Here is a 22,792-nt window from a genome sequence, read left to right on the forward strand (position 1 = left end):
ACAAAATAATTCCCAGTCCTGTTGTGCTCCAGATATTAGTTGGCCTATTACTTCCTGGTGTTTTTTTTTTTTTCTTTTTTTTTTTTTTTTTTTTGTTGTTTTTTTTTCCCTCCAGTCTTGGGTAAGTTCCTCTTGTGAATATACTGATCAGTACTTATGCAGGAAACTCTTATGTAGATTTCTAGAACTCACTCTGTGTGCAGTTCCAGCCTGTCTGATATTCTGAAATGAAATTCTAGCTCCTTGTCCTCCTCAAATACCGGGTTATTTCCCTTCTACTCATTAAGATTGCCAGGCTCTGTTGTGTTCCCCCTCCCTGTGCTGTGGCCTGGAAACAAACTCTAGATGGTAAGCTGAGGAAATCAAATGAGTCATCGTGTATATTTTTCTTCTATCACAGACCACAGTTTTATATCGCCTATTGTCCAATGGCCAAAAGCCCCTGTTTTATATATTTTGGCAACATATAAAAGAAGATCTGTGGTTGAGTTAGAAGATAAATAAATATCAACCAGACATGAATAAAGTAGAGTATGAGACTTTGTGTTTCCCATTGGGGGAGGAAGAAAAACATGTCTTTGGTTGTGCAAGGTATGGTTGTTTCAGGTTAGGAAGAAGCATGTTGTTACTAATTTTATCTGGAAGTTATACATGGAAAAAAAGGCAGTTATAAATTCTGAGTTGATAAAGTTGATAAAATATTGGAATGTGTAGGCAATGTAGAATTACATATCATATATATGCTATATATTTCCACTTGGAAAGCTGATTTTTCCAAAGAGCAAGCCATTAATAGATTAATAGCTTCCTCTCAGCCTAAAGCACTTTTTCGTTTTTTCCATAAGGGCTAGCACATTTAAAGTATTAAGAGATTTGGCATCATCAGCTTTCACCTTTTCACATGGGAATTTAAGATAATGAAAACAAGTAATAGTCTCCAGGTACCACTAAAGACGATAAAAATAGCAGGCCATTATATTAACAGTTAAAATTTTCCTCTAAAGAAAACAAGAAACTTGAACAGTTTTACTGGTCATCCAAAATTTCCAAGAGCAAATCATTCAATTCTTAAAAAAACTTCTAAGAATAGAAAAAGTAGAAAACTTTCTCTCATTTTATGATGTTTAATAATTTCACAACAGGAATAGTATGATAAGCAAAACTTAAAAGTTCTTTTCACTCATGAATAAAGATGTCAAATCCCTCAAATTACCAATAAACACAAACCAACACTGCATATAAAAAAGAGACATTATGATCAAATTAGTTTTATGCCAGAAAAAGGCAAATATGGTTTAATATTATAAAATCCAAAAAATTTATTCACTACATTTACACTTTAATATTATCATATCAATAGATGTAAATGCACAGATGTAATAAAATTATAATTTAATATTCCAGCCTCAGAATAACAACAAACAAAAACAAAAAATCTAACTACTTGATATCTTAAAAACATGCTCACTAAAATCTTGGATCAAAGATATTTAAAAATCATAAACTATAAAAAAAATCAAAATGAAAATACTGCATAGTTAATAATGTGATGAAAGCTTTATTTAGAGGTAAATTAATACACACACATACACACAACACACACATCTAGACCAACTTAAATATCTAGACAGTTACAGGTTAACAATATTTGTTAGCTTTACCTTGAAAAATAGCACACATTATTTATAATAGAAAGGTGATGTTAGAATAATAGCATTTTTCTAAAAGTCGTATTCAGTCTATAAACTTTGTAGAAGAATCACAGTGGCACTCAGCTATTTGTCTGTAAAAAAAAGCTGAAACAAATCCAATTTTAAAAATTAAAAAATAAAAAATAAAAGCAATGAAAGTAGGTTAGTCAGATATGCTTATTTTAACATATCTTTCTGTATTGTTTAGCTAGACAATTGAACAAAATATTTCTATTTTTTGACTAAATTACTGTGAGAAAGCCAAGTAATGCCTTTCAGGAGGCATTACCGTGTAATTAATTAACTTTAACAAATTATGATCGAATCATTAACCTCGTGAACTGTAAGGTCAGATAGTCTTCATACAATTTTGGAGGAAAAACCCTAAAGAGAAAGATTTCTTTTCTTATGCTACTATGTAGAAATAAACTACTAAGGAAATACAAGAAAAAAGAAATATTTTTCACCAGGTTTTTCTTGGACAGCCAACTAAAAGCATAATTTGAAAATGATAATTCTAAAATTCAATCACTGTTGTTATTTTTTTTTTTTTTTTTTTTGACTCGAGTCTCTCTGTCACCCAGGCTGGAGCGCAGCGGCGCCATCTTGGCACACTGCAACCTCTGCCTCCCGAGTTGAAGCGATTCTCCTGTCTCAGCCTCCCAAGCAGCTGAGATTACTGGTGCCTGCTACCAACCCCGGCTAAGTTTTGTATTTTTAGAAGAGACGAGCTCCTAATGCAGGAACAGAAAACCAAAGTTTCACCATGTTGGCCAGGCTGGTCTCAAACTCCTGATCACAGGTGATCCGCCTGCCTCAACCTCCCAAGGTGCTAGGATTAGAGGCGTGAGCCACCACACCCAGCTGGATGTGATTTTTTTTTTTAAGTAATTCTGGTATAATCTGACTATTTTATGTGTTAATTCTCTCACTTCGTTGTCGCAAGTGCTAAGAGAGCAAATGAAATATGGGCACATCAGATAACTTCTATTTAGTATTCTATCATATCTACTCACTTAAAATTAAGTGGAAACACCCATACTTGTTTTAAATTCTGATTCAAAGTGATGAGGATTTCGGAAATAGTAGGAATGACATGGACATAGGCCACTCTCAAGCAGGCTTGAGGTCTGATCCAAGACCTGAGATTTCTTTTCCAAACACGTAACTTTATTCAATCATATAATCTTACTTAGATCTTCCCCATGTTAAGGCTCAGATCTTCCCCTTAGTGAGTGAATAAATGTAACCCAAGTGTGTAAGGCTTCTTGTGAAGATCAGTTAAGTCAACTATAGTTTATTAAGTTTCTTCTATGTTGTAGACAGGTTAACATGAAATAGTATGTTAGATACTCTTGGCATATAGTAGGTGTTTTATACATAGAAATTAGGAAATGATAATGTTGTTTTGTTCTAGTAATGTCCTGCCATTGTAAGGGTAGAATGCAAATTCATGTTTAAGGAGGAAACAAACAGTAATTTTTCACAGCTATTATTTGCCAATTCTTTAAAAAATAAAAATAAATACATTAGATTGTTAAAGCAATTGTCTAACAAAAACCTAATTTAAAAAATAAAATCCCTTGGGTACACTAACATCTCAGACTTTACCACTATACAATTCATCTATGAAACCAAAAAAGTATTTGTACTCCAAAAGCTATTGAAATATAAAATATTAATTTACAAAATAAAATCCCATCTCCATTTTTGTGTTTAATTAGAATCATATGGTTGATGATTTTGTAAGACATACAAAAGAAAATATTTCCTTGTTTAAGTAAGTTTAGCCTATTAATGCACTTAATTAGAAAATTTTTTATTATTTCAACTACTCTCAAAATTTGCTGACACAATTTTCATTCACTTTGTGATTTTAGACACTTACAAGCACAATGTTGGAAAATAGTTCTTTGCTTTAGGATTGAGATCATGAAAATGAACTGCTAAGCTTTTTATTTTCTTCTTTTTTGATGGGAGAATAACCAAAAAATTATCAAAACTCAGGCTTAATTGTATAGAAAGCAATTATTATATTACACATTTATCCCTTATTACCAGGTAAGTTTTAAACTTCTCTTGTATATTCTTTCTTTTTTTAAAAAATTCATATATATATGAATTCTATATATGAATTATTATTATATATTATATATTATTATTATATATGAATTCATATCTATATATTGACATGGGGTCTCACTGTGTTGCCCAGGCTGGAGTGCAGTGGCGGGATCTCAGCTTACTGCAATCTCTGCCTCCCAGGCTCAGGAGATCCTCCTACCTCAGCCTCCCTAGTAGCTGGGACCACAGACGTGCACCACCAAGCCAGGCTAATTTTTTTGTATTTTTGTAAACAGAATTTTGCCATGTTGCTCAAGCTGGTCTCGAACTCCTGACCTCAAATGATCTGCCCACCTCAGTCTCCCAAAGTGCTGGGATTACAGGCATGAGCCACTGTACCCCAGCCTGTATTGCATATTCTTGATATTTGCAGGTAAACCACATCATTTATGAATTTTGATGTATGCATATGACAGAAAAATTAAAAACAAACAAAAGTGGTTTAAACAACATATACGTTTATCTTATTTTATACAAAAGAAATCCAGATTTGGCCAGTGGAAGCATATCCACAGTGTGATTAGAGGCCAGGCTTTCTTCTTTCTCCTCTGTAGCCCTTGCACATGGTTTCTTCAAGGTTACTTCATGGTATTAGATGGATTCTGAAGCTCCTGAAATCACTTTCATGACAGCACAAAAATAAGAATAAAGAAGAGAAAAGCAAAATGGGGACTTTCTGGAGATACAACACAGTGCTTAATATTTCATTGAACAAAAGTCATCTGGCCACAGAAAGCTGCAAGAGAGTCTTTTATTCTAGGTATCAATGTATTTAATGAAACCTGAGTTCTGATACTAGTATTTTTTGGAATAAGGTAGCTCTTCCTCCCACTATTTGGCATGATTTGGTTTTTTTCAGTCCTGTAGAAATTCTTTGAAACCTGTATGCTGTGATTAGTGATGGAAAATACACTGCAAAAAGTTTCAGATAGATGCAGATTAAGGCCATTTTATAGATTTGGTTAGAAGAAAACAAGAAAGTTCTTCTCTGACTGTTTCTGTTTCCTCATTAGAATATGACTGCCCATGTAGAATGCCCACTTAAAGCTCATGATGTTCCCTTTAAGTAAAAACCAGTCAGCTTACTCATATGATATTTCTTTCCAGCCACAGAAGTTTCTTCTGTCTTCATGTTAGAAGGTGAATTACTCATTAAAAATTTGGTTTGTCAGAGAATTACCATAGAAAGTGGCAGATGTAGAGAAATTGAGGATATTTGCAAACAAGTTTTTTTAATGAGTGATGGTAGTGTGGAACCATATAATCTAATGTGGTTTAAAAGGAAAACTAATATACAAGGAGACAGTATGGTAATGAGAAAATCGCGAGGTCAAGGAATTGGTCCTCAATGAAGTTGAGGAATTATTTCAGCAATGGTACTTTTGCAAGTGAGATAGAAAAGTAAAAGACAATCGTTGTAAAGCAATATGGTTGAAATACAGATGCTGTAGTTGACATAGTTTCTAGAAGAGAAGCATCTAGAATGTTGTTGGGTTCAGTCAGGCTGGTAGGGAAAATATTAGAGATAGTTACAGAGATAGACACAAATCTTGGAAGGCCAAGAAGTTTGCATAACTTTGGTAACAGATATGGTTGAAGACAACCTGATCTTAACCTTTAGTTAAATAAAGTAGAGTAGTAACAAAGGAATGTGGGGTAGTTAACTAGCTAGCTTGTTTACTCATGTGGTCTTAAGACTAACCTTTGATGTACCACAGGTGCTTAAGTGCTTTTTACTCGGGAAGTCCACAATGTCAATTACCCTCTAATGGTGTTGACTCAAGCCTTTGTGAATTAATCTTACTGAATAAATGTGAGTCTCATCAGCTGATTGGGCCATAGTTGCAACTGTTCACAATACTCAGCAGGGAATTTGTAAATGGCTTGGACACTCAGCTGAACTGGCAAAACAGATTATCTGTGTGTCAGTGTACTTTATTCATCCGTCGCTGGGTCAGGGTCTGCAGGCAGACCCCGGCAGCTGGTGCCCCTGTGTGAGGAGTGCTACCACAGGATTTGACCACGGGGATGATTTGTTGAGATGGAGATGGCAGTAAATGTTATTTAAAATGAAGAGGGCAAACCATGCATTATCAGCCTGTTGAATAGGTCTTCCTCTTGGATTTTGAATTCAATAAAAATGCTGATAGACAGGTAGATGTAGAAAACAAAATTGGTGGATCAGCAATTATAAAGTCAGATTGGGTAGAACTGGCTAGTGCGGAAGAACAAAAGAAAACCTCTGCTTGAGAAGGCTACAAAGAAGGCAATCTCCTCAGATCCTCAGAAGATTCTGAAGTGTCAGTTGGGACAAAGGAACTGGAGGGAATTTACAGAGAAGACAGAATATACGGGAACATACTGATCGTAGAACAGTATTTCAAGGACGTGATAGGGTTTGGAGAAGAATGGTGGGAACAGAAGAGGATATCGTTTTCTAGGCATCAATCTACATTGAGTTTGTAAAAACACTGATATCTGTAGTTTTTAGAACAGCAATACCACACAAAAAGAGAAACACAGAACTCATTACATTGTTCCGAGGAACCATCGATATGTGTGTGTCCATTAGTCCCCCAACAGAGTGGAAGGGTTTATAAGGTAGGGAAGCATTGATGGAAGGGAGTAAATAGAAGAATATCGAAAGAAGTATGAAGATGAGAGTGTAGGTGCTACTGGATGATCATAGTGGCAGTGATGATATAAATGGTGATGGGAAACAAGACAGAAACAATTATTTGTAGGAGGTGGGCATTCTGCATCAGGGTCTAGCTTTGTCATCTGATCTGTCGTTGGCACTGATAACTTCTGCTTAATACTTTCAAGCACATTCTCTTTCCTTATTTTGTTATCAAAAGATTCTCCAAAATATTATATTTGACATTTCTGTTCTAATCTTACTATAACATAGTGGTTAAGATTTCAGTTTTCAGAACCAAAAAGATCTGGGTTTGTATCATAATTCTTCTATTTATTGGCTATGTGACCTTGTCATGTTGCTTTACCTCCAGACAGTAATATGGGGATAATATCACCTACCTCATAACTTTATCCTGAAAGTCGTTGTGAAATGCCAAGCACAAAATGTGGTATACAGTAGTTGGTCATGTTAATTTTTATTAGCTGTTACTATTCTAGCCTAAGCCCTTTTTATGTTGATATCTCAGCAAGCTATTTGAATTATCTGCTTCTATACATTATTACTTGATTCCCAAAATTCCTCTCAGATTACTTTTCTAAAATTTTGCTTTCATTTTATCACTCTCCTGGTTCTGGTAGTGGAATAATTTACTGATATTGTGTCCGGAATTGTTGGGTTCTTGGTCTCGCTGACTTCAAGAATGAAGCCGCAGCCCCTTGCAGTGAGTGTTACAGTTCTTAAAGACGGTGTGTCTGGAGTTTGTTCCTTCACATGTTCAGATGTGTCCGGAGTTTCTTCCTTCTGGTGGGTTCACGGTCTCGCTGGCTTCACGAGTGAAGCTGTAGACCTTCGTGGTGAGTGTTACAGCTCATAAAGGTGGCGTGGACACAAACAGTGAGCAGCAGCAAGATTTATTGCAAAGAGCAGAAGAACAAAGCTTCCACAGCGTGGAAAGGGACCCGAGCGAGTTGCTGCTGCTGGCTTGGGTGGCCTGCTTTTATTCCCTTATCTGGCCCCACCTACATCCTGCTGATTGGTCCATTTTACAGAGAGCTGATTGGTCCATTTTACAGAGTTGATTGGTCCGTTTTGACAGAGCACTGACTGGTGCATTTACAAACCTTTAGCTAGACACAGAGTGCTGATTGGTGTGTTTACAAACCCTTAGCTAGACAGAAAAGTTCTCCAGGTCCCTCCCCAACCCAGAAGCCCAGCTGGCTTCACCTCTCAATGGCACTCGCTGTGGGACTTTGCGGCATCTAGCCCAGGCACTCCGGCAGCCCAAAGGGAGCTCATCCCCCAGTCAAGCCCAGTAGGCGCCGGCCGGCTGCGCCCAGTGCAGGGCCCGCTGAGCCTGCACCCATCCGGAACCCAGCTCCCCGGCTCCTGCCCGCGCCTCTCCCTCCACACCTCCTGGCAAGCAGATGGAGCCAGCTCTGGTCTCGGCCAGTCCCAGAGAGGGTCCCCCACAGTGTAGCGGCGGGCTGAAGGGCTCCTTGAGTGCAGCCAGAGCGGATGCCGAAGCCAAGGAGATGCTGAGAATGAGCGAGGGCTGCTAGCATGTTGTCACCTCTCAATATCTCCTGCCTGAAATCCAGAATTCAGATCTGTGTTTCCTGGAGATGCTCAGCGTACTGAAAATAGTAAATAATTTGGAACCAAAAAGAACTGGATTCCAAGCCAGGCTTGACTGCTTACTAGTTGTTGTGCCTTTGGTATTTCTAATATTTATAAGCATTAATTTCCTCACCTACAAAATTGGGATAAACATTGAATTTCTACAGCCTGTAGTGATGTTTAAATAAAATAATATAAAATGCTTGGCACATATTAGACAGAAAAAAAACATTATATTTCTATAACTTGCCCCTATTCGTATCCAAATTTAACATAAATGGATTTAGACCTTTCCAAAACATCTTTACATAAACATGATTAGATTATTCCATTGTACTATAAGAGTTTATGTATTTCTCTCATTTATTGGCTTAAAAGTTATTTTTAGAAGTAATTTATGATTTTTGTTTTCTTTACCCCATTTTGAAAGCTCTTGTATCCAACCTAGTGTGTGGTGTCTGGTAAGAAATTAGTAAATACATAAATATTTCTTGATTGGATGAATACACAACTTTTCCCTGTAAATGGGAGAAAATATATAACTTCTTTCTCAACCCCTTAAGTGCATAGTGGGAACACTTCTGTAACAAAAGACAGATTAACAAGAGAAAAACAGACATTTTTATCTATCTGTGCAGTGTACACCACACGGGAGAAACCTCAGTTCAAAAGTTTCTCATAATATGATGGCTTAGGGTTCCTGCTTATATAGCATATCTAACAAAGAACAATCAATTTAGAAGTGTTAAGACAGAAATAACAAGTAGCTTTAGGGTCCCAAATGTGGGAAAAGCTGCATAAAAATAGTCAAAGTCTGTTCCCAAATTCCTTTGACTCTGCTGGTGCCACCTCTGGGCTGATAAGCAAGCGAGAACTTATATCTCCATCTACATGTGGAAAGAGAAGGCAGAGCCCCCCTGCATCTTTTTTATAGGAATGTTTATAGCCTGCCATAGGTAAGAAAGGGAAAGTCAGTCTTTTCTGTAACTGCTGCTTCCCAATTGCAGTAAGCTTAAAACTATGTATGTCAAAGAGGTGTATTTTGGGGTGAAATATTCTCCTTTTCTTCACTTGCAAAAATCACTATGAAGTTTTAACATTCTCATTTTACTAAAATAAATAATATATAACAATCAGTATCAGAATGATTAAATTTAGCATAATTTTTTTTATTCCATGAATTCTCAGAATTAAGCTGGAGGACTTTATCCTTAGCAAACCAATGCAGGAACAGAAAACCAAATGCTGCGTGTTCTCACAAATGAATTGGATCTAATGATGAGAACACATGGACACAAAGGTAGGAACAACACACACTAGAGCCTATCAGAGGGTGGATGGTGAGAGGAGGGAGAGGGTCAGGAAAATAACAAATGGGTACTAGGATTAATATACCTGGGTGACAAAATAATCTGTACAACAAACCCCCATGACACAAATTTACCTATATAACAAACCTGCACATGTACCCTTGAACTTAAAAGTTAAACAAAACAAAGAAACAGAAAAAAAAACTATTTTAAGCTCTACTGGAGTCATTTGTATGAAAAACAAAGAAAAGGAGAAAAGATAAAATAATTTGCAACTAACTGTGTTATCTAGAACAAGTGCCACCCTACTGATTGGCTTTAATTTAGATATAATAAAGGCATGTATGGTTTACCTTCATTTTTCAAATATTAGTGAATTTGATATGGCCTACAGTAAAGTAAATTTTAACTTCAAAGCCTCTGCTAAGAATTTTAATGGAAAGATGGTTCTGTTTTGGACAGGATACATGGCTACATACTACCTACTAGTAATAGTCTCTAAACCAGGAAATTACGTGGTTTGATCTAGAGATAAGGTGGAGAATGAAACTCATCTGGATAATAATGTAAATCTATATCTTCCATTGTGATTACAGACAACCTTTAAAAATTGTATTACCCGAGGAAAAAAAAATTATCTTTCTTTCTGAGTATTATGGCTTGTATAACCCCTAACGATTAAATTAATATTTATTCTAGAACAATATATATGTTTGTATATGTATGTTTCCTTATACTGTTAGAAATACTACAAAGCCACAAATTTGGATTGTCAATAGCACACATATTTTTTTTTTGATACCATAGAGTACTAATGGTCATTCTGATGAAAACTGAAAACATCTATATCCACATGCCTTAGTTGATTTTTTTCTAAAAACAAACAAAACAAACAAACAAAAAATTTAAAAAACACTCTAACATGAAACTAAACCAGTAAACAACTTTACTGTTTTCTTCAAGAAATTCCTACAAATCAATTTATCAGAGATAAGTTTGTTCACCTCAGTAAAGATCATTTATCAAAGGTTTACTTATCATGTCAACACCTCACCTCAATGCATTCACCAACCCTAAACTACTGTGTTATGAACATTGTCCAATTCTAATAATTTTCCTGCTTGAAAAAATCTGCTTTAAACTCATCCCATTTTGAAAACTCTTGAGCCAAACTCCAAATCCTCTAAATTTCCTCCAATACTAAGACTCTGTCTGCTTTACTACAATGAGTTTGAATACATTCTGTCAGTCTTTATGAACAAGGTGTCTGATGACACTTTTGGGAATTCAACATCAGGCATTTCTTGCCAGTGCCACAGATAATGCTGGTTTGTTTTTGTTTTTTTTACCTAATCGTATGTATTGCCTTAGTGAGGAGGAGAAGAGAAGGCCCAAAGTAAATACCGTTCTTGTGGGTAGTGGTAGTGTATTGCTAAGGTGACAAGGAAAATTTATTCTCTGACTACATCATAAAGCAGCATCTCTCCTTGAATGATGGAGCAGCGTGAACTTGAGATTGGGGAAAAGGCTCTGAACTGGTGTATGTCCACAGATGGAGACACCAGGCCAGGGTCAGTCTTTTCTTTGTACTCTGGCAACAGTCATATTTAGTATATTAAAGTCCTGCCATATCTCATTACCTACCTACCCTCTCTAGTTATGCCTATACCTTCAAGTCACAGACACCCACTAGTCTAGTGGTGTAGGGAATTACAGAGCTAACAGCAAATGACAGTATTGTCTTCCCTAATACTTTGCACTGAAGCTGAGACAACAACAACTTCACTCCTCCACAGAAGCTGGCTAGCAAGGAGTGCCCCACAGGGCAATGTAGCAGCACGGGTGGGCTCTGAAAAGGATGACAGATACCTCCCTCCCCTTTCTCACGTATGATTTTTTAAAAGTATTTTCACGAAAAAGGGCAGTAGAACTTTGGGTTAGAGTTACAAAGGGATAGTTACCACTTTATCTTTTCTCTGAAGTCTCTTCGTTTTTCTGTCCAGTAAAGAAGAAACAAGAAATTAACTGCAATTCCTGCTGTGAACTTCTATCTCCCCACAGGCCTGTGGATGTCTAGAGGAGACACTGTCATTATTTCCAAGGCAAAAGCAGAAAAAGGAGGTTGATGCTCAGGAAGAGGTTGGTCGAAGGCTGCTGGGTGGTTCTAGAGCTGTAACTAGTAATTAAAGTTCATTAATCAGCTGTCTCAGCCAGGGGCACTAGGCCGGCTGCTATTTTGATCAAACAATTATTTATCCTGATAAGGGGGGAACATGTGAGAAGCTTCTTGGCAGCAGAATTTGTTCCTTTATTTTAAAGCAAGATGATAAATTATCCCAGAAAATGGGTTCTTGTTTTTTTCTAAGAATATACATGCATATAAAAGTAATATGTGAAGTGCAACACTATAATATTAATACAACTCTTTCTAACTAAAATTAATATTGATTTTTTTAAAAACCCAGGATTAGTAAGGGTATAAATAATCTTTGCTACCTAGTTAATTATTCATTGTATGATAATCCCTGTTTCTGTAGTCATCTAAATGTTGATCTCCTCCACAGTGTTTTTTTGTGACTGACTAACGTTGGAAATGCAGAAGACCCAACGAGAAATGGAGTTTCCCCTTGTCTTTCAGTTACAAGGTTAACTATGTCTTTTAAATGGGTAGTTGGCATATGATACAACAAGGAGGGCACCAATGGATGAATAAAGAAATCAAAGTTCCTGCCTGGGCTCAGCAATAAATTCCTATGGCCTTGGGGAAATCATTTAACCTTGTGAACAACAATTTACATTTTTCTAATTCCCTAGATCAAGGGTTGGCAAACTTTTTTCCTTTTACTTAATAGTAAATATTTTAGGCTTTGCAGGCCATTTGGTCTCTTGCAACATCTCAATTCTGCTCCTGTATTGCAAAAACAGCTATAGACAATATGTAAATGAATGGGCATGGCTAAGTTCCAGTAAAACTTTACTTATGAACAGTGAAATTTGAATTACATGTCATTTTCATGTGTCATAAAATATATTTTGTTTGTTTGTGTCCCAACCACTTTAAAATATAAAAATGATTCCTAGTTTGTGAGCTGTATAGAAACAGGCTGCAGGCTGGATTTGGCCCATGGGCCATGGTTTACTAACCACTGCTCTAGATGCTTCCTAATGATAAAATTCCCTTTGGTTTTCTAGAGTTTGGAAAAGACAAAGAATAAGCCAATTCTTAGATGAATAATTAAAATGATAATAAAGAGGCTTTTAGAGAAGTTGTAAGAGACAGCGTGATGAAGCGATGTTTTTGGAAGGGTATAACAAGCAACTAGCTGAAGTGAAAGATTACACAGAAAAAAGGAGTAGCTCAAAAGAATAGACTTGCCTGGTTGATAACCAGAATATCTAAGCAACACATCTTTGACTTAAACTAAAACAGAAATTAAACCATAAGAAACTCTAGGGTCAAGTAGACATGACTGTAGACAGGACATTATGTTTGTACACATGCACATTTGCATGTATAGTGGTCATTGACACACAGAGCCACACAGAAACCCTTGAGTGACTATGAAGAAGATAAGACATGCCTAATAACATGTGCTTGTGAGAAAAGAGGAACAAAGATATGAGCATAGGATGAGTAGGAATAAAAGCATTTTAAGTAAGCTTGCAAAAGAGCTGCCTGTTGTATTGGGATAATTTGCTTAAGAATAAGTTACACAGTAATAGGTGTGGCAAGAGCAGGTTGGCATATTGCATACTGATTTCTGCATATATCAACAAGAGGCAAGAAAAAGTAGTATTATTTAATGCGTAACACCAACGCAGACATTCAGAAACTTGTATTCTCCTCTGTTTTTCCTCTCCAGTTGTCAGGTATTGACCGTTCCTGTGATATTTGATAAAAGATGTTTCACATTATAATAGAGTGATTTATAACATTCAAGTCCTTAAAACATTTATCAAATGCAAACAGATGTGAAACTATTGTCTTTTCATTTTATGTGGCTAAGATGGGTGATACTTTTTCTTGTAATGTCTCTTTCACATTTTAGTATCAGGGTTATGCCATCCTCATAAAACAATTTGGGGTGTGTTATCTCCACCTTTATTTTCTGAAAAAGCCTTATGTAAGACATTATTTCTTCTTTAGCTGATTTATAGATTTCAGTGATGAGCCATATGGGCCTACAGTTTTCTTTGTGGAAAGCTTTTGGTGATGGAGTCAATTCCTTTAAAAGTTACAGAGCTATTAATGAAAGAGTTGATACGATTACAGTTTCATCTACTGGCTCTAAAGGAGGTGACCTGTATTATTACTATCTGGGTAATGTGCTGAGTTATGTTTTTGATAGGGTACGACTGTTCTAATAAACATACTAGAGTGGCATGGGTCTGTGACTTGCCTTATTTATTCAGGCCAATGTCTTCAAAGACTTCAGCCTGATCAGCATGACTATTAATTTATTTTTCTATCTAGTAGCAATTTGATAAAGGCATTCCAAAAAGATGGCTTCCTTTGGCCATCTATGAAGATAAACTGTATCACAAAGGATTGAGATAGTTCCTAATTCATCAAAACTGTATTCACTCTGATATTATATTAAAGGTGAAGAAAATACAGACACATTGGAAATATTCTTACAAATGTATTTCATGAATAAAAGCAATAAATAGCACTGGAGTGTCTTCTATAGGGAGTTGTTTAAAGTAATTAATAAGTAGGATTCAACTAAGTGCCGATTAAAGAAGAAATATTAGCATTCTTCCTAAGAGTCATAACCATTAATTTGACTCCCCTTTTACTCATCAAATATACTCAGATGTGTAATAAAAATTAATAAGATATTGTTAGGGAAAAACTAATTAGATGTTGTTAAGAAAAGATTTTTACAATTTCACATGGAAAAAATTGCTGACAATAGGTTTTGTCTTAAAGTAGACAAAGAGAATTATTTTAATGGACTCAAAAATATTCATCAAGGAGAGAAGTCACAGACTACACAATAACTAGTCTTGTATTAAGTAAATGCATTAATTTTTCTGTTTTAGAACTCTGCTAGTAAGATTTAGTGGCATGGTATTCTAGGATTTTGTGGTTATTATTCTTATTTCACAATAAGCCACTCAGCCTTACCTGGGTTTAATATGTATGAGAGCTCGATTTTGGGAATGTTTGTCAAGGCATTCTTTAGAATCCAACAAATCAAGGAGCACCTATTAAGTTGCTGAGACATTAGTGCTCTCAGAAGTCTATTACTATGTTAAAAGTTATGGTGTATACTAAAATCAGTAAGTTCTCTGCCTTCAGTTTCCGTTAACAACAATGCCACTGCAATTCCTGATGCTTTGTAAAATAATGTTAGCTATGTTTGGCTGACATGCAGAAACTTGTATTTCTCTTCTGTTTTTCCTCTCCAGTCATCAGATATTGATCATTCCTGTGATATTTGATAAAAGATGTTTCACATTATAGTAGAGTGATTTATAACATTCAAGTCCTTAAGACATTTATCAGATGCAAACAGATGTGAAACTATTGCCTTTTCATTTTATGTGGCTAAGTTGGGTGATAATTTTTCTTGTAATATCTCTGTCACATTTTAGTATCAGGGTTATACCATCCTCATAAAACAAGCTGGGGTGTATTATTGCCACCTTTATTTTCTGAAAAAGCCTTATGTAAGACTTATTTTTTCTTTAGGTGATTTATAGATTTCAGTGATGAGCCATAAGGGCCTACAGTTTTCTTTGTGGAAGGGTTTTGGTAATAGGTTCAATTCCTTTAAAAGTTACAGAGCTATTAAAATTTTCTATTTCCTCTTTTGTCAGATTTGGTAAATTGTGTTTTTCAAGATTTTTTTCATTCCACTTAAATAATCATATTTATCAGGATAAAGTTCTTTATAATATTATCTTTTCAATATCTATGAGCTCTGTAATCATATCAACTCCTTCGTTGCTATAGGTAATTTGTGTTTCTTTACTTATTTCTTGATCAATCCTTGTTAAGATTACCAATTTTATTAATCATTTCAACAAAATATTTGTGGCTTTGTAAACTTACTCTGTTGTTTGTTCATTTTCTATTAATATTTCTAATAGAAATATGTACAGTAAAGACCATTCTGATAAGGTGTGATGGAAATGAGGAATATCTTACTGTGAACTGGAGTAAAAGCCATCCTTGTTATACTGTAGCAAGGAACTTGCCTCCATTGTGTCCATGTTCTAGGGTTTTATGAAGGTGAAACTTAAGAATGTTGAACTAGGATTTCTGGAAAAAATTTCTAAACAAATTAGAGAAGGAGCTGTGTGGTTACTTTGACCTGCTTATACTGAGATCTGGGAGCAAATGAATAATTTAAAACAGAATTTACAACTAAAGGGCAGCAAAGCCGAAAAAATCTGGAAAAGTCACAGCCTGATCATGTTAAGGGTAAAAAAGCAAGTTTGGGAGAGATTGCTGAGGGTGTGGCCCAGTGACTACTTTCTAATAAGATTAGCATGAAAACAAGAAAGATAAGTGTTGTGTGTTAGGACAACGGAGAAAAGGCACAGGTCTAGAAGGGCAAAATGGCTTTGTGAGATGGGCCTGGAGTTCCCTGTATCCATACATTGCTGCTCCCTGGATCCTGGCTGCTCCAGCCATGGCTCAAGTGACTCCAGGTGTATCTTGTGCCGCAGCTTTGGAGGGCACAAGCAATAAGCCTCCGCAGCTTCCACATCCAGGTAGTGCTAATTCTGCAGGTCTGCAAAATGCAAGAGAGGTAGGGATGTGGTGGTCCCCACCTAGACTTCAAAGGATATATCAACCTGCCTGGGAATCCAAGCAAAAACTTGCTCCAGGGGTGAAGTTGCCACAGGTAGTCCCTACCATGGCAATGTCTAGTGGAGTGTTGGAGTGCAGCCACTGCTGGGTTGGGCCACTGGCAGCATGCAACATCCACCTGGGGAGCTATAGACACTGGGCTCCAACTCATCTAAGTAACCACCTGAGCTGTGCATCCAGCACAGCCCTAGGAGCAGATCTGCCTAAGGCCTTGGGGGCCCAACCCCAGCCCCAGTATGTCCAGGAGACAGCATATGGAATAAAGTATCATTTTGCAGTTTTAAGATTAAATTTCTACCCTGCTGAGTTTTAGATTTGCTTGGGCTGGTCACTTCTTTCTTTTGGCCTATTTTCTCCTTTTGGAAATCAAAATGTTTACCCAATACGTCTCCTACCATTTTATCTTCAAAGTAGATAACTTGTTTTGCATTTTACAGGTTCATGGCTGGAGGGAGCTTGCCTTGAGACTCAAATGAGATTTTGAACTTTAAACGATCGAGTTGTTGCTGAAACAGGTAAGACTTTGCAGCTATAGGGTGATTGTATTTCGTACTTGAAAAAGACATGAGTTTGAGGGGCCAGGGGCCGAATGCTATTGGTTTGACTGTGTCCCCTCTGAAACTTATGTTGAAATTGGATTCCCAATTTGGCAGTGTTTGGAGGTGGGCCTACTGCGAGGTGTTTGAAACATGGGAGTACTGCCCTCATGAATAGATTAATGCTGTCTTAAAGGAGTAAGTTCTTGCTCTTGCAGAAATTAATTAGTTCCCATGAGAGTGGGTTGTTATAAGTGAGCCCAGCCTCTCATGCGTGTCCCTTTGCACTCATCTGCTCGCCTTACTGCTTGTCTGCTATGTTGTGATGTAGCACATGGCCCTAACTAAAAGGTGAGCAGATAACAGTATCATGCTCTTGGACTAGAATTGTCACCAGAATTGTGAAACAAATGAATCTATTTTCTTTATAAATTACCCAGTCTCAGGGATTCTGTTACGGCAACACAAAATGGACAAAGACAGGAGGTAATTAGCATTAGATAAGATCCTCAGGGTAGGAACCTCATGAGATTGGCAGCTTTATAAGAAGAGGAAGAGAGACCTGAGCTGGAACATTTGCTCTGTCTTGCCACATAATGTCTCTTGCCAAGTCATGACACAGCAGGAAGGCCCTCATTAGATACCTGTGCCATGCTCTTGGACTTCCCAGCTTCCAGAAGAGTGAGCTAACTAAATCTCCATTCTTTATAAAATTACCCATTCTGCAGAATTGAAATATCGCAACAGACAATATTTTAAGACAATTACATCTTCAGACAATTAAGGCATAATTAAAACAATAGAAATGTTGAACTTACAGAATGCAGGTGGTGGGATTATTGAGAAGGTGCTGGTCAAAAGACATAAAATTTCAGCTGGATAAACCTAGAGTTTACAAGGGTATTGGGAAATGGATTTTAAAAAAATACTTCTGGGAGAGTAATGTTGCAGGCTTTCAAAAAAGCAGTTTGCGTTAATTAAGGTTTTTAATTCTGTATACTTCTAGGGATTTATTCTAAGGGAATTCATATGATTCACATACAGATTCCAATATACTAATCTCAGCATTATGTATACTAATGCAAATTTGAAAGCAATGAACATTGATTTAATAAACTGTCACATTCATATAATACCATGTAGGTATTAACATAGTAAGAAAAAAAGTATTCTAATATGAAAAGCTATATTCATGACAAATTATTAATTTAAAATCAAGTTAAATGGTTTATTTATAATAATCCTTTCTTTCTCATATCTCTTTATATGCATGTAGACAGGATACCAAAATGTTAGCAGTGATATTCTCTGGGTAGTGGGATTATCAATTATAAATTTTCTTTTTGTATTATTTGTATTTTCTAAATTTCATAAAATAGGTATTATTTTATAATAAAGTTTTCTAAAATTGCATTGCATATATCATGTAGCTTACCCTTCTTTTTTCTTTTAATTTCCAATTTATGCATTTTCTAATCACAAGCAAGGTCAAGAAATTGAGAGAGAAGAGTTGGCTGAAGAATGAGATTCCCAAGGAAGATCAATAGTGAATAATGATAGAAAAGTAGAAGAAAGAGTCTAAACAAAGTTAGGGTAGACAGTGAATATCGATTGCTAAGTGGGAAATCATTGTGCTCAAGGAAAATGGGTATATTAGGAGAGCCAGAGAAGGATGATTGAGAGTACTGAGTTCTACATTGTAATGGTTTTTCACATATTTCCTATGTTTGACTTTACAGAAAGCAGGCAGTAGAATATAGCAAAGTTTCTCCAGATAAGATCCTGTCAACACTCAGGTGTCATTAGCCTTAAGCTGCATGAAGAGTAAGGCCAGTCATACCATTACACTATTGCAAGGTACACCAGTCTATGAGGGGCATCAAAACAGTGAGAAAGCAGTAATAATGCAGTTGGGGCTCTACAAATAATTCTAGTTGTAACATGGAAACATGTAATCTAATCCTCCCTCTGCCAAAGTGGAAATGATAATGATATTTCTTATTTAGTATTATGGTTTTGATTTAAAAATCCCTTTGTAGGCAGCAACTATTTCACTAGTAAATAAATATGAAGGAAACATTTAAATATTGTCAATTTGTAATTATGCCGCATTATTTTTCTGCCTAAGGGCCATAGTAGGTTGTAGTTCATTTGTGCATCCAATTACAAATCAGAAAAAGGGATTTAACAAGATTCCAGTAAAAACCTCCCATGCTCATGGATTGAAAGAGTCAATATAGTTAAAATGGCCATACTGCCCAAAGCAATCTACAGATTTACTGCTATTCCTATCAGGCTACTAACATCATTTTCTATACAATTAGAAATATTATTCTAAAATTAGTGTAGAACTTAAAAAGACCCTGGCTTGCCAAAGCCATCCTATTCAAAAAGAACAAAGCTGGAGACATCACATTATCACATTACCCAACTTCAAACTATATTATAAGGCTACAGTAACTAAAACAGCATGGTACTGATACAAAAACAGACACATAGACCAATGGAACAGAATAGAGAACCCAGGAATAAAGCTGCACACCTATAGACATCTGATCTTCAACCAAGTCAACAAAAATAAGCAGTGAAGAAAAGACTCCCTATTCAATAAATGATGGCTACGATAGCTGGCTAGCAATATACAGAATAAACCTGGACCCCTACCTATCACTGTATGCAAAAATTAACTCTAGATGGGTTAAAGATTAAAATATAAGACCTCAAACTATAGTAACTCTGGAAAACAGCCTAAGCAATACCACCCTGAACACAGGAACTGGCAAGGATTTCATGATGAATGAAATCATGTCCTTTGCAGCAACATGGAGGCAGCTAGAGACCATTATCCTAAGTGAATTAACACAGGAACAGAAAACCAAATACCACATGTTCTCGCTTATAAGTGGGAGCTGAACACTGGGTACATGTGGATATAAAGATGCAACAATAGGCACTGGGGATTACTGGGAGGAAGAAGGGGAGATTAAGTTTCAAAGCCAACTGTTGTGTATGCTATGTACTACGATTAGTACCTGGGTGAAGGAAACAATCACATCCCAAACCTTAGCATCATGCAATATATCCATGTAACAAACCTACACATGTACCCTCTGAATCGAAAATAAAAGTTGGAGTTATTAAAAAAAAAAAAAAAAAAGTAAGTCAGGAATTTCAATTCATGACCCTGTTGGAAAACACCAGATCTGAACATGCAGAAGCAGTCAACCAAATGTTTAGACCTACAGTATTTTTTTTAAAACAAGAAAAAGAGCATTATACAACTGTATTAGTCCCTTCTCATGCTGCTATGAAGAAATACCCGAGACTGGGTAATTTATAAAGGAAAGAAGTGTAATTGACTCACAGTTCTGCATTGCTGGGTGGGGCCTCAGGAAACTTAGAATCCTGGCAGCAGGCAAAGGAGAAAAAGGCACCTTCTTCACAGGGGGCAGGATGGAATGAGTGCAAGCAGGGGAAATGCCAGACACTTACAAAACCATCAGATCTCCTGAGACTCACTCATTATCATGAGAACAGGGTGGGGAAACCACCCCCATGACCCAATTACCATATCAACAACACACTTAAAGGAATGCAGATCCCTTAAATGACCTATTAAAGAAATGGAAATAGATTTTTAGAGACTGGTAGAGTAAAAAAAAAAAAGAAACATTGTAGAGGAGCTAAAATATGCACCTAAACTAAATCCATATTCGAAATAGCAAAACAAAATGAACACATCAGAGAATTTGAGAAACCATCCTAGAATATAGAAAAAAAAGTTGAAAAGTACAAAACATGAAAGCTATCAAAGAGAAGATGGTATCTGTGGGAGAAAAAAGAAAGATTTGATTCTCTATAGGTATTTCTGAAAAAGAATCAAATTACAAAACTTGAAACAGAAACTAAAATCAAGTATACAATTTAAGAAAAATTTACTCTCCTGGAAAATATACTGTTTACATTAATTGATTTAAAGAGAGTTCACACAACATTAATGAAAGGAGACTCACTTCCTGATCAGATATTGTAATTATAAGACTGCAGAAATATTAAAGGAGTATTTGGACTAAAAGAAATAAATCCAAGGCCAGGTGTGTGGTGCAGACCTGTAATCCCAGCACTTTGGGAGGCTGAAGCCGGCAGATTGCTTGAGCATAGGAGTGTGAGTGCAGCCTGAGAAACATGGCGAAACCTCATCTCTCCAAAAAAAAAAAAATAAAAATAAAATAAAATTATACAAAAATTAGCCAAGCATGATGGAGCATGCCTGTGGTCCCAGCTACTTGGGAAGCTGAGGTGGGAGGATTGCTTGAGCCCAGGAGGTCGAGTCTGCAGTGAGCTGTGATATGATTGTGCCACTACTCTCCAGCCTGAGTGAAAGACGAAGACGCTGACTCAAAAAAAAAAAAAAAAAAAAAAAGAAAGAAAGAAAGAAAAAGAAAAAGAAATGATACGACTTCAATGAGTGGAGGAACACCAGGGCTCTTGTCTTAGGCTGAATTGCATAAAATGACAGATACACGTGGAGTAGTTTCAAGGAGCAGAGAGTTTAATAGGCAAGAAAAAAGAAAGAAGGAAGAAGCTTCCCTGTACGGAGACAGAGGGAAAGGGTCTCCAAGGCCAAGAGAGGAAACCCGGAGTGAAGCGGATACCAGCTTTATATGAGGAGGCTGGAGGAGGCGGTGTCTGATCTGCATAGGGCTTAGGGGATTGGTTTGACTAAACATGTCATTCACATAGCCCTCGAAAAAATGGGCCCTCCCACCTAGTCTTTTAATATGCAAATGCAGGGCGCCATGATGGTCTACATACCTGCGGATATGTGGGGGCAGGCATGTTGCCAGGCACATGTGGGAGCAAGGGCAAGAGGACAATGGTGGGAATCAACATGTTTAGATGGAAGTAGCTTCTAATGGCCTGTATTTGCATATCAAAGGTTGCCTGACTGGCTCTTAAGAGCCAGGCTTTCCTGCTAGACAAGAAATGTTTCTGGAGCTGCTTTGAAAGAGACAAAAACTTTCCAAGAACCGTTTTTCCACTCTATCTAGGAAAAATAATTTCTTAATAACTCCTATAACAGCAAGAAAAAGAAAAGAAGTAAATCCAGGCCACAGTCTCAGTTTTATCTGAATATTGAAAGCCAGAAGTCTTTTTTATAAAGTTTTGAAAGAATTAGAGAGACCTCTATGTTTTACTTCTTCATTTTTAGTAATTGGAAAGACAGAATAGCACATCGTAGACATCAATAATAATTTTATTGAGTGAATAAATGAATAAAGATTAGCTAGTTGCCCATCATGTATGAAGGCAAAATGCATTGTTAAAAATTTAATATACATCCATACACACCCCTTAGAAAACAAAAGAAATCTCTTAACATTGTATTGATAAAGAGATGTATTCTAATTAATATTTTGAGCACTGGGAAGTCAAGTAGACCATTAGTTCAGTCAATGACAAGAGGGGCTGAATAGAATCACAGCTGCAGGTCGCCACACTAGAGAACCCAGAAGTTAGTTCAGATGTTGCTTCCCAAAGATGCTTCTGGATAAAACTTCAAAGAAAATCAATTTGTCATAACTTTTTTTTTACTCATTACAGGAATAAGCTGTAACTGCCACACACACACATGCACATACACACAAATTCCTCCTGAATTGACTCTGAGTTTAAAAAGTCAGTTTTACTATTCCTAGACAAATGCCCCATCCCTCATTCCAACACACATGGAATGAAAACATACTAAAATATGGTTATCTTAGATCCAGAGGTTTGAGGTCAATTATCTATATTTTATTTTCTGTGTTTTCTAGTCTTCATCAGGTATTTATATTGAATAATTCTTTGTTTTCAGAAAAGATATATAAAATTATTATCTGTAGTGCTAATTTCTAGATTTTGTCCCCTAGTGATTAAACATCTTTGAAATATTCATATGAAAACAGGAACCCAGTTTTTTATTCTATTGATAGTTTCAATTGAGAGTCCAATAAAATATCGAGGAAGCAAAACCTCTTTCGTACATGTTATGCTTGCTTTGGGGA

The 22,792-nt window shown here is 36.4% G+C and overlaps 1 long non-coding RNA gene across 1 annotated transcript in view, besides 3 other annotated features; it reads left to right on the forward strand.

Moving 5' to 3' along the window:
• Positions 1-19,902, forward strand: part of LOC105377379 (uncharacterized) — a 35,996-nt gene extending 16,094 nt beyond the window's left edge. The window contains exons 3-5 of the long non-coding RNA XR_001741520.3: positions 9,262-9,373; positions 11,445-11,522; positions 16,647-19,902. This is a non-coding gene — a long non-coding RNA (uncharacterized LOC105377379). The remainder of the gene's footprint in view (positions 1-9,261; positions 9,374-11,444; positions 11,523-16,646) is intronic.
• Positions 19,984-20,609: an enhancer, noted in NCBI's record as "OCT4-NANOG-H3K27ac hESC enhancer chr4:115415345-115415970 (GRCh37/hg19 assembly coordinates)". NCBI's record gives its function as "activates a minimal SCP1, AML or CMV promoter by ChIP-STARR-seq in naive and primed H9 embryonic stem cells {active_cell/tissue: H9 hESC(naive and primed)}" and the evidence as "EXISTENCE:reporter gene assay evidence [ECO:0000049][PMID:30033119]".
• Positions 21,236-21,861: an enhancer, noted in NCBI's record as "OCT4-NANOG-H3K27ac hESC enhancer chr4:115416597-115417222 (GRCh37/hg19 assembly coordinates)". NCBI's record gives its function as "activates a minimal SCP1, AML or CMV promoter by ChIP-STARR-seq in naive and primed H9 embryonic stem cells {active_cell/tissue: H9 hESC(naive and primed)}" and the evidence as "EXISTENCE:reporter gene assay evidence [ECO:0000049][PMID:30033119]".
• Positions 21,862-22,486: an enhancer, noted in NCBI's record as "OCT4-NANOG-H3K27ac hESC enhancer chr4:115417223-115417847 (GRCh37/hg19 assembly coordinates)". NCBI's record gives its function as "activates a minimal SCP1, AML or CMV promoter by ChIP-STARR-seq in primed H9 embryonic stem cells {active_cell/tissue: H9 hESC(primed)}" and the evidence as "EXISTENCE:reporter gene assay evidence [ECO:0000049][PMID:30033119]".

The sequence above is a fragment of the Homo sapiens genome, chromosome 4 (assembly GCF_000001405.40).
Source record: "Homo sapiens chromosome 4, GRCh38.p14 Primary Assembly".
Taxonomy (NCBI): Eukaryota; Metazoa; Chordata; class Mammalia; order Primates; family Hominidae; genus Homo; species Homo sapiens.